The sequence below is a fragment of the Homo sapiens genome, chromosome 2 (genome assembly GCF_000001405.40).
Source record: "Homo sapiens chromosome 2, GRCh38.p14 Primary Assembly".
Taxonomy (NCBI): domain Eukaryota; kingdom Metazoa; phylum Chordata; class Mammalia; order Primates; family Hominidae; genus Homo; species Homo sapiens.
This window is the reverse complement of record NC_000002.12, coordinates 233,987,133-234,002,779: the sequence shown is the minus strand read 5'-3', so window position 1 is coordinate 234,002,779 and position 15,647 is coordinate 233,987,133. Positions and strand designations below refer to the sequence as shown.

The 15,647-nt window shown below is 44.6% G+C and overlaps 1 protein-coding gene across 24 annotated transcripts in view, besides 1 other annotated feature; it reads right to left on the bottom strand.

The window, feature by feature from the left end:
• Window positions 1-15,647, bottom strand: part of TRPM8 (transient receptor potential cation channel subfamily M member 8) — a 102,150-nt gene that overhangs the window by 16,743 nt on the left and 69,760 nt on the right. For 19 of the 24 annotated variants that reach the window (NM_024080.5, XM_011511810.3, NM_001397608.1 and 16 more), the window contains one exon: window positions 6,264-6,454. In NM_024080.5, the coding sequence (NP_076985.4) occupies window positions 6,264-6,454 (191 nt within the window). Of the gene's footprint in view, window positions 1-5,905; window positions 6,455-15,647 lie in introns of those variants that run through there. The other 5 variants (NM_001397606.1, NM_001397613.1, NM_001397612.1 and 2 more) reach the window with 1 other exon arrangement.
• Window positions 12,204-12,253: an enhancer, noted in NCBI's record as "active region_17351". NCBI's record gives its function as "activates an Ori minimal core promoter by ATAC-STARR-seq in GM12878 lymphoblastoid cells {active_cell/tissue: GM12878}" and the evidence as "EXISTENCE:reporter gene assay evidence [ECO:0000049][PMID:35858748]".

Below are 15,647 nucleotides of genomic sequence, written 5' to 3'. Positions count from 1 at the left end.
ACCTAACCCTATTCCTTTAGTCACATGTACTGGATTCTCCCCTATATTTCCCACTTCCAAATTGCCCTTAACTCCAAATTTCCTATCTAACAGCGACTTTTCTTTTTTCAGTAGTGTTCCAGGTGGAGGTGGGGAGGCATCTCACGACCCTCCCCTCCGCCAACATATTCCCCAAATCACAGGAGTGAGCATCAGGATCTGAGAAGCCTAATTCCATGTGGTGATCTGTGGGTCTCCCCACACCAGCCCTGGGAGTATCTTTGCTCATTTCTGCCTTGAGGGAAACAAGTCCAGTCATCAAAGAGGTGTCATGATGTATGTTTCATGGTTCATGTCACCATTTCTTGCACTGTAGTGTCTCCTGTCTACAGTTTTTCCTTCCTCTGGGATTCACTGTGACTTGGTGGGCTGAGGGCAGGGGAAAGGGGACCGTATGGAGCTAAAATGTGACTGTAGGATACAGTCCAAGCCTTACTCTCGTCTCCTGCAACCCTCAGTCCTGAGGTCTTCTCTCCCCTGTCCTCCTACCTCTCTTAACTCCCTCCTCCCTCTGCCCACTCCTCGCTCTGTGGCGCCATTTCAGCCTCTGCCTCTTTGCTTGGCTAATTCCAATTCATCTTCTGGGTCTCAGCTTGAATATTCCCTTCCTCCATAAATCTTCCCTGATGCACTCTAGTCAAGGGTTTAAATGTCCTCTCTGTGGCCATCACAACCCCCTGCACATTCCCTAAAATTAGTGTTTCCCACACTTTTTAATTAAGGCTTTTCCATTTTCATTCTCTGCTCCCCACTCCCCCAGATGATGAGCCCTGCTCGAGGGCACAGATAGCTTCTAGCTTATTTAGCACCAAATCCCCAGGGCCCACTATCATGTGGTAGGCTCTTGGCACATATTTGTTGAATCAGCTCTCCCAGTCCCCCTCACTCACTGCATCGCAGGCTCTCCGCGAAATTATCTACGTCACCTCTGGTCCAGCTCCCACCAAGTGATGGCCTCCAGGCCCAGCCCATGTGCCTTTGTTCATGGCTGCAGCCCCAGAACTGAGACTTCATGTTTGTGCAGGACTGACCCCCTCCTGCAAGAGGACTGCTTTTACACTATTTATTTTTATAGGTGCTAAGGGGGGGTGCTCCTTTTCATGCTGTGCTTTTCTTGCCTATGCACAATTTCCACCCATCCTTGTGCTCACTCAATTTTCCAATTTAGATCTGTGGGTAGTGTGGTGTGCGTTTTACAGAACTCTGCCAAAGTGGACTGTGGCAGGAAATGAGGTTGGTAGACTCTTGCTTCTGAAATTTATCAGAACTCAATGATGTTCCTTTCTAACTTTTGTTCCCCTACTTAGACATTTTATGAGCACTTTTTTCATTGGTTTCTGGGGGCCGTCCGGAATATAAGTGATGATAGGGTTTAGGACACAGTACCTCAAAATATGGCACCACGGCATATTGAATATTTTAAACTGAAAGAATTGAAGAAAAACCACACAATCAGGAAGGTCTCTCTGATCTGACTTTTCCTGCCCCTCTCCCCAGAAGCAGGTCATATCACCTAGGAAGGATTTTCTGACCTTCCCCTACAGCAGGTCATAGGACCCTCATGTGAGAGGCACACTCCTTATACCTAGGGGAAAACAGTGTCCTCATCTCCAAAGACACAGGGATGCAGAGAGAAATGTGAATGCATAGGCCTTGCTAGGTTTCCCAGTTTATTACCATGGGATCATACTCTGTTTGCCCTATCCTATTTCTCCACAACCTTCCACTCTTCATTAAACCTACTATTAAAAATGTTCAAGTTTGGCTGAGAACAGTAGCTAACGCCTATAATCCGGGAACTTTAGGAGGCTGAGGTGGGCGGATCACTTGAAGCCAGGAGTTCGAGACCATTCTGGCCAACATGGCGAAACCTGTCCCTACTAAAAATACAAAAACCAGCCTGGCGTGGTGGTGCACGCCTGTAATCCCAGCTACTCGGGATCCTGAGGCAGGGGAATTGCTTGAACTCGGGAGGTGGAGGTTTCAGAGAGCCGAGACTGCGCCACTGCACTCCAGCCTGGGGGACAGAGCGAGACACCATTTCCGAAAAAAAAAAAAAGGTTGTTTCTTTGGATCTTCCTTTCCTTATGAAGGCTCCTATGTCACATAAAACTTATATTAAATTTCTATGCTTTCCTCTTGTTACTCTGTCTTTTGTTGTAGGGATCTCAGCCATGAGCCTAAGACAGGTAGAGGAAAAGATATTTTTCCTCCCTGACTGTAACAAGATAACTGAATAATTTATAAATATCAAGGAAGCCTTTTCAATGCCAAATTGCCAAAGGTCATTTTCTAGAGCCAAGTTCATGCATTTTTAAAACATCCACACAGGGCCAGGGCGCAGTGGCTCATGCCTGTAATCCCAGCACTTTGGGAGGCCAAGGCAGGCAGATCACAAAGTCAGGAGTTCAAGACGAGCCTGGCCAACATAGTGAAACCCCATCTCTACTAAAAATACAAAAATTAGCCAGGTGTGGTGGCGGGTGCCTGTAGTCCCAGCTACTTGGGAGGCTGAGGCAGGAGAATCACTTGAACCCAGGAGGCGGAGGTTGCAGTGAGCCGAGATCATGCCACTGCACTCCAGCCTGGGCAACACAGAGAGACTCTGTCTCAAAAATAAATAAATAAATAAATAAATAAATAAATAAATAAATCATCCACATTGATCACAGATGCTGCTCAGAAAGAATGTGCTCAGGAAAGGTTTTTTCCAAGGATGGAAAACATACACGATCTTCAAATTACTTGTGAAAATATATCAATTTTGGAACAGTAGTAACAGAAAATCAGCTAAGTGCAGAGTATGCTAAAGAGGCTCTTTCTTAAAGATCTGCTGCAACTGCCTGGGCATGGTGAGGATCAGGAAAGTCTCCCCGGGTTCAGCCCGTATACTCAGCATTTTCCAGGGGTGAATGCAGCTGCAGATGTCAGGGCATAGAAAATTGTGTTCTAAATTGTTCGAGGCATCAAAGATAACGTGGGACTGCTCGAACTATCCAAGTCTAGTATGGTAGGTGAGTTAATGAGAGGTAAGCCCCCATGCACCTTGCTCCAAGGGCGCCACGCATTTCTGCTGTGAATTTGGGAGTAGGACGGGCAGTGAGAAGCTCCCCTTCTTTTGATAAACCAGCATTGGGTGGGGGAGGCATTCTCAGAGGACCGGCGCATTCAGCTCAGTGATGCCTAGAGTGGTAGGTGGCCAAACAGGGCCACGATGGCCAAACAGGGCCACGGATTCTTCCACCCACCGGGCAGGCTGTCCTTCCCACCCAGAAGCAGAGTCACATTCTCTACCCGTTCTGTCTGGGTGGGCCTGTGACTTGCTTGGACCAATAGAACGCAGCAGAAGTGACGTCATCTGACTTTCTGAGCCACAGCCTCAGGGGCCTTGCAGTACCTGCTTTTTGCAGGAACCCAGCTGCTATGTGTGGTGACACTGAGACTCCCTGCTGCTGGCCAGCCGGCACTGCATGTGAGAATGCGTGTGGATGTCCAGACCAGCCAGCCTGGGGTCCAGCTTCCAATCACTGGATGCTTCAAGGAACAGAGGCAGCCAGCCCAGCCCAGCTCTGCCCTGCCCTGCCCTGCCCTGCCCCAGGAGGGACCCACAGAATCATGGGCAAATAAATGCTTTCAGGAAACCAAGTTTCGGGGTGACTTGTTACATAATTATATATAACTGATCCACTTAGAGACGTAAAATGACCCTCCTTTATTTTTTTCACAAGAAGGAAACTGAAAATGAAAATCCTGAAGGTACCAAAGCGTGGTCCAACCCGAGTCATTAACTCTACATCCCTTGTCAGCACACAGGGCTGTTAAGACTAGAAGGGTGATCAGCAGTCCCTGAAACCAAGGAGGTTCCCAGAAGGCAAAAATGCCCATGTTACAATTGGGATAGTCCTGGGCAAATGGGCACAAGCTGCTCACTCTAACTGAATGGGTAGAATCTGCTCACCTTAACAGGATGGGCACAAGCTGGCACCCTAACTGGATGGGCACAAGCTGGCACTCTAACTGGATGGGCACAGGCGGCTCACCCTAACTGGATGGGCACAGGCTGCTCACCCTAACTGGATGGGCACAGGCGGCTCACCCTAACTGGATGGGCACAAGCGGCTCACTCTAACTGGATGGGCACAAGCTGGCACCCTAACTGGATGGGCACAAGCAGCTCACCCTAACTAGCTGGGTACAATCTGCTCACCCTAACTGGTTGGGCGCAGGCTGCTGGCACCCTAACTGGTTGGGCGCAGGCTGCTCACCCTAACTGGATTCCCAGGATGCAGGACTCTCAGTACTAAGATGGGGAAGTCCTGGGCAAACTACAACGAGATGGTCACCCTAGGCCCTAGGCACATTTGCCATTCTGAGTCCCTTCCTTCAGAAAAAATATATTAAAAATATTGTATGACTTAGTTGGTGTAAAACAAATACATTAATATATATGAGAACACTTTCTTTAATCTAAAAGCTCATTTTTTTCTTCTGGTTTTGAAAGAAAATGTAAAGATGTTCAGGAGCCCCTGAGGTCCTGTGGGCCCTGGCACTGTGCCTGATGGAGGAGTTGGCCCCACAGCTACATCCCCATCCCAGAGATGGATCTTTGGCTTAGGTCTGAGGTTAAGGGATGAGGAAAAAGGCCAGGGGTGCCCTTTCTATCTTTTCTTTTGTGTCCAAACCTCCAAACAAATAAAAACAGGCCCCTTCCTCCCTGCATGCTTAATCTGGTTGAGGCATAACTGGGGGCTAGGAAGATTGTCTGGCTTAGTGGCTCTGGGAGAAACTCAAGCCTGATGTGGTTTCCTACAGGGCCAGGAAGAGAGCTGGATGCTGGCTCCCTGCATTCAAAGGACATGTGGCTGACAGCTGCTACCACTTCAGGGGTAGGGAGTGGTGGCTGGGTGGGGAGCAGCCTGCACCCCAGTTTGTAAGGGCTAGGTGACCACATGAGAGAGAGAATGATCCACAGTCTGATGTGTGGATGCGTTGGGTTGATGGCTGCCTTCCTGAAGACATTAGTGTGTGGAGTGTGTGGTGGACCCCTGGAAACCAGAGGCTGGGGTAGGGGGGAGCCACCAGAGAAATCATGGCCAAGTCTTAGGAGTTGGGGTCAGAGGTGACAGCCAGGGACTCTCTGAAGGACCCCCTGAGTGCCCACACAATCAAGGATCAGTTTCAAACATCTGCCAGGCCAGAGGGCACGAAGCAGCCCAGAACAGCATCACTAAGAAAAGGCTTTCAGCTCCCCTTCCCATCCTGTCCCTCTGTGCTCCAGCTGTGGAGGGTCAGTCCCCACAGCTGGTGAATGGGAGCAAAGAGAGGGAACAGCCCACTGCCGACCCTCCCTGACGGCTCCATCAGCTGGGAATGGGGCAGGGAGGAGGAGTCTCACCTCTGAATAGCAATTAATAGGCTGGCTAATATATTGAACTGCACGTTCCTATTTCTTTCTTTCTTTTTTTTTGAGACGGAGTCTCACTCTGTCGCCCAGGCTGGAGTGCAGTGGTGAGATCTCGGCTCACTGCATCCTCCACCTCCTGGGTTCAAGCAATTCTCCTGCCTCAGCCTCCCGAGTAGCTGGGACTACAGGACTACAGGCACACACCACCACACCCGGCTAATTTTTTTGTATTTTAGTAGAGATGGGGTTTCACCGTGTTGCCCAGGCTGGTCACAAACTCCTGAGCTCAGGCAATCCGCCCGCCTAGGCCTCCCAAAGTGTTGGGATTACAGGCGTGAGCCACCACGCCTGGCCACACATTCCTATTTCTAAACTGAGATGATGTTTTCTCAAATATGACAATTGTTAAGATTTTCTATTCTCCTAAGAAGAGTCACAAACCGTGCTGGAGTCAGATTTAAAGGTTCCTAGAGAATAAATTTCACGGGAACAATGAAAAGCAAAAACAAAGTCATGATTGGACACTATCCCATGAATTCTGCCCGTTCAACATACTATTTACATTATTATTACACGATCTGTCCAAAAGTCATTCATTCCCCACAGAGCAGGCTATCCCGGCAGATCTACAGTGCTTTCTTCAGCTACATTTCTCTAGAGTAATTCATTGGTTGGCCTGAGGCCTGATCTTTACAGATGTACAGATGTGAACAGTGAAAGATCTGTGAATAATTCCTTCCTGTTGAGATACACACCAGGCATCCTTCCCTGAAATTAATCGCTGCTTCTGATCCCAAGTACACATGGATAAACCACTCACAGCAGACAGAAGACTCCATGTTTTTCTCCTTGCAGCAACACTTGAAGCACTTCTTCACCACCATGTAGAAGTAAGCGAAGACGATGAAGGGGAAGGGGATATTGAGGCGGCTGCAGTACTCCTGCACCAGGAAGTACCTCTGGAACTTCCAGACCTGGTCATTGTTCTCCTGGACGGTGCCCACCGTGTAGCTGGTGAGGGAAGAGAGAAGGCCAAGACTTAGCATTGCGCATGCCTCATCGCTAAACTGCCTAGTATGGTAATAGTGGTATTAAGCTATTACTGCAATAGCTTAAGTACAGACAGGAGAGAAGAATCCAGAGTGATACACGAGCCAAAATAACTCAGCAGGAAGTGAAAGTGACCTTCAATTCATGCTGGGTCAAAAGTGTGTCTGGCTTTTGGTGGTTTTTTTTTTTTTTTAATCACAAAAAAATGCTCAACAAACTTTAAAATTATTTTATTTCAAGATCTTTCAATGATTCTCTTTTTTTATTCATTTCTTATGATGTTAGATACAAAGTGGTCCAAGATGTCAACACCCTTGGGACTAGCATGGTGGCCCTCATCCATGTCTAAGTGTAAACAGCCTGAGAAGAAAACAGCTTGTTAGTGTTTATCAAGAGCCTTAAAAATGTTCATCCCTTTGACCCAATGACTTTACTTCTGGGAATCTACCCTAAGAATAAGGAAATACTAAGAAAAAATATATATGTAAATGAATATATATGCATGACTGTTGGCCACCAGCACCATATGTAACAGCTGCCCCCACCCCCTACTCAAAGAGAAAGAAAGAAACTAAATGTTCATCACTAAGAAAATGTGTCACACATTACGATTAATCAATATGATTACATTATGCAGCCATTAAAGTTATGAATAATTGTTTTATTATGGGGAAATGCTTATCATATATGTTAAGTGAAAATAATTAGGCTCAAACTTGTACTTACAATACGGTTTTGTTATGCAGATCTCAATTCACAAAGAGAAATAGATCAACCACAAATGGCAGTCACCTTGGGCATCATGTTTTGAGTGCTGTTTAGTCTCTTTTCCATTTGCTTTCCAGCATGAGGCAATGAGTATGAATTACTTCCATAATGATTAAAATGTTCATTTTGTGTCTTACTCCAAAACTGATAATGCCAAGGATTTCTCTGTTACAAATTAAACCAAAACTATAAAATAGCTAACACTTATTATAAACCAGACACTGTTCCAGCAGTCTGCTTAAATTAACTGGCTTAATCTACAAACAACTCTCTGATGTATGTCTATTATCTATGATGTCTATTATCATCTACAATGAACAGATCAGGAAATGGAGGCACAACAAAGGTAAGTGAATTGTCTGAGTCCTCCAGTTAGGAAGTGTTGAATTCGGGATTTGGACCCCGCAATCCAGCCCCACGTCTATTTGTTTCGCTGCTACATGATACCACCTCACAGAGGGGAGCAGGAAATGTTTTAAGCAATGCTCTATTTCAAAAAATGGGTTTGAGATATGCTTCATTTCAAAAGGATTTTACTGGGCCACTTGCTAGCTTAGCATTTTAGATAACTACAAAGCATATTACAATTTGCAAAGTTCAACCATCCAAGACATTTTTATTGCTAATATCAAATCATCCCTTCAAGAGCCAAAGAGGTGCAATGAACTGTTTGAAGGCAAATCCTGATGGGGGAAGCATTAAATTATCCAAATTCTGGGGAACATCCTCAATAAAGTCAGGCAGAAAAATCGATTACATATGTTACGAGACCTCATTCTTGCACCTTAGTACATTACATTAGACTTAAATATCTTAAGCAAAAAAAAATGTCGGATACCTACGCAAAACACTGACCAACACAGACAATGGTTATTGGCTTTGCTTAAAGTTTAGCTTTGTTTATCTTGGTGTTTAATGACGAATGGAACACCTCTGCAATCTACACTAGGGCCTGGATCCCGTGTAAGGCAGACTTGTAGCAGGTGCCTCTTGAACAGGGTGAGATCCTTAAAAGAAAAGGATTTCTGTTTATTAAACATCTCCTCCATGTAAGCTCCTATGCTATGCCTGTAAATTGGTTGGTTGACTGATCCTCACATCAACCCTGAGTGGTAGATTACTTAGGTGAAAAACAGCCAGGACTGGGATGTATTATAGTGCAGCCAGTCAAATCTAGCAGCCAGCCTGGCGTTTCTTCCAAATGTAGGTCAGGCTGCTTTGAGGCTAATAGCAAGCATCATCATCCACCCTTTCTAGTCCACAGCTGGTTCTGTTGCCTACAAAATGCACTGCATGTTTCTGCGGCTGCAACGAGACACGTGTGCATGCAGCAGCCCCCGATTAGGGAAGTTCAGGCTAAGAACTTGCCAGAAATCAGTTTACTACTTGGGCCAGAACAACTATTACCATTCAAATTATTGTCCCTAGAAGTAACTTGAAATATTCGAGTTTGGGGAATTTAACCTAAAAATAAGAAGAGATGAATGTGAAAATACTTTAAGCAATGTTGTATTTCCAAAAAAGAAATAGATGCTCTATTTCAAAAAAGGAAATAGAAATCTTTGACTATATATCTAGTCAAAAAATGGATTATACTGACTTCCCAAAACTCTAACACCAAAGAAAAAATCAAAACAACTGCATCCATTTTTGTGCATTGATGTTGTTTTCTGAGGTATTATTCCAAAGGAAGCAATAAGTCCTATTGAAAAGAGAAACTTCCAGGATGCTCAGAGCAGGGGAAAGCATTCTCTCTGGCAAGTGGGCCCCCCATCTTCCTCAGAGAGCTCAGAGTGGAAACGCAGCCCACAAGAGTCCAAGTAGGAAGAGATTTATTGCACCATGGCTTAAGTGGCCACTTGGAGTCAGGGAAAAACATGTCTTCTAGATCATCTAAAATAGGGATTGGAAAACTGCAACTTGGGACCAAGCCAAGCCCCCCACCTGTTTTTGTACAGTCCATGAGCTAAGAATGGCTTTTACAAAGCAGGGAGGTGCAGGTGGGTACAGCATCACTGAATACTGCTTCTTTTGACACATCTGACCAATGACCCTAGCTGGCCCTTACAGAGAAAGTCTGTGATCCCTGAGCTACAGTGCACGTAGGCCAGTGCCCATGAATAAGGCTTTGTGTTTGTATCATTCCCTACTTTTAAAGAGCTCTGCCTCATAGGTCACCAATCATTTGTTCCTCAGGACAACTGGGTTGACTGCACGGCCCCTCCTGCTGGAAGAGTAGCTTCCTCTGTACCTCAAGGGCAAAGGTGGATCCAGTGAGCAGCAATGCTTTCCCAGACAAATAGCAAGAACTCTTATGGGCATCCCAGGGGGTGTGAATGAACCAGCTGATAACTGGACATTAATACCCAAAAGCCGTTTTGCATAAATAATGCATATTCAGGATTGGCTAGGCTGAGATTTATTTATACACCGAGGTACAGCTGACCCATATGGCAGCAGCTTCCAAAATGTTCTTTTTCTCTCAAGTCAGTCCAGGACTCAGCCAAATAGACATGAGGGTTCTCCAGAGGGGGGCTCCTAATGGAGCGATGCTTCCACCTGCTTTCCTAAAACAATGTTTATATTCTGTAGACATTGTTTTCAAATTCTGTAAAGGGGAGACTGAACTCTGCAGAAAAGGATTTTCTGGGCCAGCACGTGCACACCCCCTCAGCAAAGCAAGCATTGTAGCAGCTTAGAGACCATCTCTCATGCCCAGGGTCTCACCCGCCCCATCTGAGATGGTTCTTAAAGTCTCCTTGACAACCAGTGGCCATCTGGTGTTGTCCCTGAGAGAATTCTGCAATTTTCCCTTTGTGCATCTCCAGCGATATCTTGTGCCCTTGGCGTCCTGTCCCTGGCAAACACCTAGCTGGCTGGAGACATGCAGTGACAGCTGAGGTCCATCTCCTGAAACCAGCTGAGCAGGAGAGGAGGAGGAAGGAGAGGCCATGCAGAGGGACAGCAGTTCAGAAACTCACTGAGAGTGGAAATGGTACCAAGAGGGAACAGACGTTTAGAATTCAGATCACTTTGTACATAAATGAAGTCCAGAAGTACCTTAAAAGAATAACACACCATGACCATGGAATAGGATGACTAAATATTAAGAACATTTATGTCATTCATCTTTTGTACAATGCATCATAATACTAGATCAAAGGGAAAAATAGCATTTCAATAACTGCTAGAAATCTTCTGGCAACATATAACATCCTTTTCTGATTAGGAAGAGAAAGAGAAAGGAGCTTAATAAACAAAAAAGAGGAGGAACTTTCCATGACATGATAAAAAGAAAAAAAAAGAAAAGTAATTTAGTAAGGAGACTCATTCCAGAATAAATAAGGAAAACTTTAATAACCTTCTTACGTACCAAAACGTAGTCACTGAAAAAACATAATAGAAAAAGTACCTTACTTTTTTCCCCCTACCATAAGTGGCTGGAAACAAATTAACAAGGAATCTGCCAGATCCATATGAAAAAGACCATAAAACTTTACTGGGAAATTATATATGTTTGAATAAATGAAAATCATAGCATTTCTTCTCAATAGTAAGATGCCAAATTCCCTTAAATGATTCTACAAACCTAACATCATCATAATAATATTCACAAGAATTTTTGGGGGAAGGAGAAAGAAGAAAGAATCCACAAGATAAGCCTTAGGCTCCTCTGTACAATTAAATATACAAGAAATGCCAGAAAAGTTTTGAATAAGAATAATGAGGGAAACTTGTACAACAGATGTTAGAACGCCTAAAAGAAAAAAATACTTCAGTAATCAAAGCCATTTGGTAGTAAAAACCAAAATACAAAGACAGATCCACAGAACAGAATGCAAAGTCTGCAAAAAATTCACAAGGAAAAAGTAGATGCTAAAACAATGGCAGAATTTTCAAATACACTGAAATACAAGAAACTTGTCAGCTAATTCCCTATCAGATGGACACCTCCTCCAAACTTTGCGTAGATTTCATGGATTTTCCTTTGTCGCTCCTTCCCCAGCACACAGGCAGTATCTAGCCAGTACTGCCCCATGGCCCGTGGTGACAGTGACTTTTCGCTCTCTCTGATGCGCTGGTGTGTATGTTAAACTGTGTAACACATCCTGGTTCCCCTCTCATTCTGCAACATCAAAAAAGCAGGTACAAAGCCAACAACAGCCAGCAGTAAGAGATGACAAGCGATTGGATCACACTGATTTTGGAATTGATAATTCAGGTTAGTATATTGCTAACAGAATAACCAACTAAGACTGTGCCATATACTTGCACGAAGACCCATGACATTTCTCTTCAACTTCAGGAAAAAGTCCAAATTCTTTAATATACTATAAAAGACTCTCCATAACCTAGCCCCTGCCTACATTTCCACCCTCCCCGGCTGCTGATTCCTCCCTAGACTAACATTATCTCCCCTGCTTCTACCTCTCCTACCAACACTTGGGGCTCTGGGTACATGATCTTTCAAGCAAACATCACCTCCACCTAGCTGCTGCTGCAGATCCTAGGCTCCCCCAGCCAACAATCTCACAATTAATAACTCCCTCCTCTGCAAATAGCCTCTCCATGCTGTTTGTATTACATTATATTATATATATTATATTCATATGTTTCCATGTCATCTCTTCCCTTAATATCAGGGACTTAACCTTTCTCTGCCTCCCACTCCTTACGTGTAAAATGGCAATAAGGCTGCACCTGAGGCAGGTTAGATGAGGTGGTCAGAGCCTCCCTTGACAGGAAACAAGAAACTTGTCAAATTGATGAAGAGAACAAACCACCTAACAGTGCACAGACCGCATCCTGAGCTCGTGGTTAGAACACCCTACAGCAAAAAGGCAGGAGCAGAAGAGAAAAATCCCCACATTTGTACAAGCACAGAAACCCGTGATTAGTGTCCTTGGGCTGACCTGTGCTCATTATAATAGTAAAAAACACACCCCCAGGTGGAGATTTAAAATGCTTATAAGACATGCGATGGATGTACTAGCATGTACAGCCACTGCACATGTGGACCTAAGAAACCACTCCTAACATGCTTAATAGCAACACCCCTTACCACCCCTTCATGAATAATCATGCAAATTTCCCATAAAGGGAGATCCCCCAGTATTAGACAGAGCTGTCTTGCCTTTGAGTGGCCCGTTCTGACCGGCTGCTAGAGTGTACTTTGGCTTTGCAGTCAACTCTCTTGCTTGCTTTTGCTTTTGACTCACTTTCAAATTATTTTCTGTCCCAAAGTCAAGAACCTGAACTAGCCCACCGGCTACACACCTACACAGAAATGAGTAATAATTAAATGAGGCGACCCCTGTAAAGCACTTGAACCTGTGCCCAGCATGGGAAAGCTTCAATAAATATTAGCTATTGTTACTATTACAATTATCTGCGCTCTTCTTTCTATTCTTTTCACCCCAATTCAATAACCTCCCTTAGACTGTTCACACAGCACTCAAACCTTTAGTTTGTATCAGGTCATTATTTTCTTCCTTCTACTTTTCTGCATGTTTATATTACTCCTAAGATCTGAAAAACATTTTTAGAAATTATTCTACAGCAGGACATGTTTGACGAGTCCTTTTCAGAACTGCCTGGGGTGAACTTATCTTCAGGGCACAATGCTTATAAATGCCCTAGCTCCTGGTAAGTCGACCTGGAGTCATTTACTGACTTTAAATTCACTTCCTGCCGCTGATAAGCCACACAGGCCCTGTGATCGATAATTTTAATGTAGAATAATCACAGATGTTCACATCCATTTCCTTTCTCTGTTGAATACCATCTAGAGAGCACTCCAATACTCCTTCAGAATTCCCAAAGGTACATTTGCATTGCAGTTAATAAGGTTGCCATTGTGTATGGTTAAGCTTTTAAATGAGTATTTTGATGTGGTGCCAGGGAAGGGTCACATCCTGGGGCCATCTGCTCACAGAGTAAGCCCTGAACAACTTTAAAAATGATCAGAAACAGTGTTCCAAGGATTTAACCTAAGGATAACAACACGGCGTCTCTCGCTGTTCTGGTGTCCCCAGACAGGTATTAGCCAGGAAAAGGCCTCTGGTTTAAGCCGGAGCTAATCGAGGAGGTTCCCCAAGGACAGGGATGTTGCAAGCTGTCACACTTAAGCACTGACTGGGGCAACAGTAGGATGTGATGCAGTGGCTCTGGCCTCGTGGGGAAGAGACCTGAGTTAAGCCAGATAACGCGCGGCCAGGACCACAGACGCTGAGCTGCTGGGACTTCATCTCCTTCACCTGAAAGTGACAGACGAGGCTCCCATCTTTCTCAGCTCCAAATTCAATCATTTCATTATCAAAATGCAGGTAATGGATTACAAAAGTGCCCGGTTCTCATGAATGGCTCCTTCAGACAGCTCATGTGCATAGATTCAAAAAAGCTCTAAATATTTTACCATGTGCCTCGTTGAGATTTACCAAGTTAGCATAACTCAAAGGCCATGGTTTTAGGAGCTGTTGGTCTTTTTGTTTAATGTCTGTAAATATAGTTAGTGGTGAGTTCTTACAGGACTATCCAGTGTAGCTATGACATCTTATCACTGTAAAGAAAAGCCTGAAGCCATCCCACTTCGCCCTCGCCTTTGCTTCAGGTTTTGGGATTGGTCTGTTTTGCTCCCTCTCTTGTGGAGACATAATCACCCATAACCTGCTGCTTCTCTCTGCAGCTCAGATGTTGGCCCCTCTGACTTTTGGACACTATTTGGACATCATGACATTGGCTGGCTGCCTGTGAGTCAGACAGGCTTCTGGATCCTCAAGTCCCTCCCTGCCACCAGCTAGGTGGTGAGGGAGAGTTTCCCCTTCCCTTCTTAGGGCCATGTGGAACTAGCAGCCACATAATCTTCATGGCCCAGGCACCTGGCACAGAGCAGATGTTAAACCTTTACATGATGATTCTCTTGCTGATTTGTTACTCACCATTGGTGCTTCTCAGTATATAATACACCAGGAAGCTAAGCTCCTAATAACTAAATAATGAACTAAACATGGGTAAGAACCCATTTTTTTCATTCATTGAATAAACCCACAAAGTGACAGGTGCTGAGATGGCGGGCACAATCTTCACCCTCCAGAGTTCGCCATTCTCAAGGAGAGAAGGTTGTTACCATGCAAGTAAAAGAGTGCCATAGGGGCTCAAAGAGTCTCTGTGTGAAGTGGGGAGGCCATCAGGTACCACCCTGGCAAAAGATGATTCCTGGCTCTGTAAAGGGCAAGCAGAAACTGGGCAGGAAGAGAAGTTCGGGATGGAACAGGCAATCCAGACAGAGGACAAGTATGTGCAAAGCATCAGGCATAGCAGTTCACCCTGTTTAAAGAGGAGCATATGGGAGGCCTGCCGGGGGACAGAGAGCAGGGGATGAGCATGGTGGGGAAGCTGAGAAGACTGAAATTTATCCTGAATGCTGTAGGGAAATATTGAAATCCTTCCAGAATTTTAAGCAGAACAATGACTGTGTTAGTCCATTTTCACACTGATGATAAAGACATACCCAAAACTGGGCAATTTACAGAAAAAAAAAAAAAAAGAGGTTTAATGGACTCACAGTTCCACGTGGCTGGGGAGGCCTCACAATCATGATGGAAGGCAAGGAGGAGCAAGTCACGTCTTACGTGGATGGCAGCAGGCAAACAGAATGAGAGCCAAGTAAAAGGGGTTTCCCCTTATAAAACCATCAAATCTCGTGAGACATATTCACTACCATGAGAACAGTATGGGGGAAACCGCTCCCATGATTCGATTATCTCCCACTGGGTCCCTCCCACAACTTGAGGGAATTATGGGAGCTACCATTCAAGATGAGATTTGGGTGGGGACACAGCCAAACTACATCGGTGATGTTTTAGAAACATCACTTTTGGTCACAGTGTAAAGAAGACTGGAGTGGACTGGAGAAGGACATCTCTGGACACTGGGAGACCAGATGGCCACACACTGCTCAGCCCCTTTGCTATGTGATGTCCCCAGAGGTATGTGCTTCCACACAGCCCTGCTCAGGGGGAGGCCACTGGACAAATGAGGCAGGTGACCCTCATCTGTAGTCCTTGAGCATCTTGGAATCTCAGGGCTCTATTTGACAATTGTCTTTTCCTTATATTCTTTTCTAAATTATGAATGTAATGTGTGATCATTGTAACCAGAGAAGTATATATTTGATTTTTAAAGTCCATGTTTTTATTTTTAGAAAACAATATTATGCCATAAAATTAATTTGCAATTTGTTTTTTATATTTAAAAAATACCATTCTTTCAAGTTAACAGATATAGATCAAACTTTGTCTTTTAAGAGCGGCATAATATTCCACAGTGTGGATACAGCACACTTTCTTTAGCCTCTCCCTAGTGATAGACATCAAATAGTGATCTA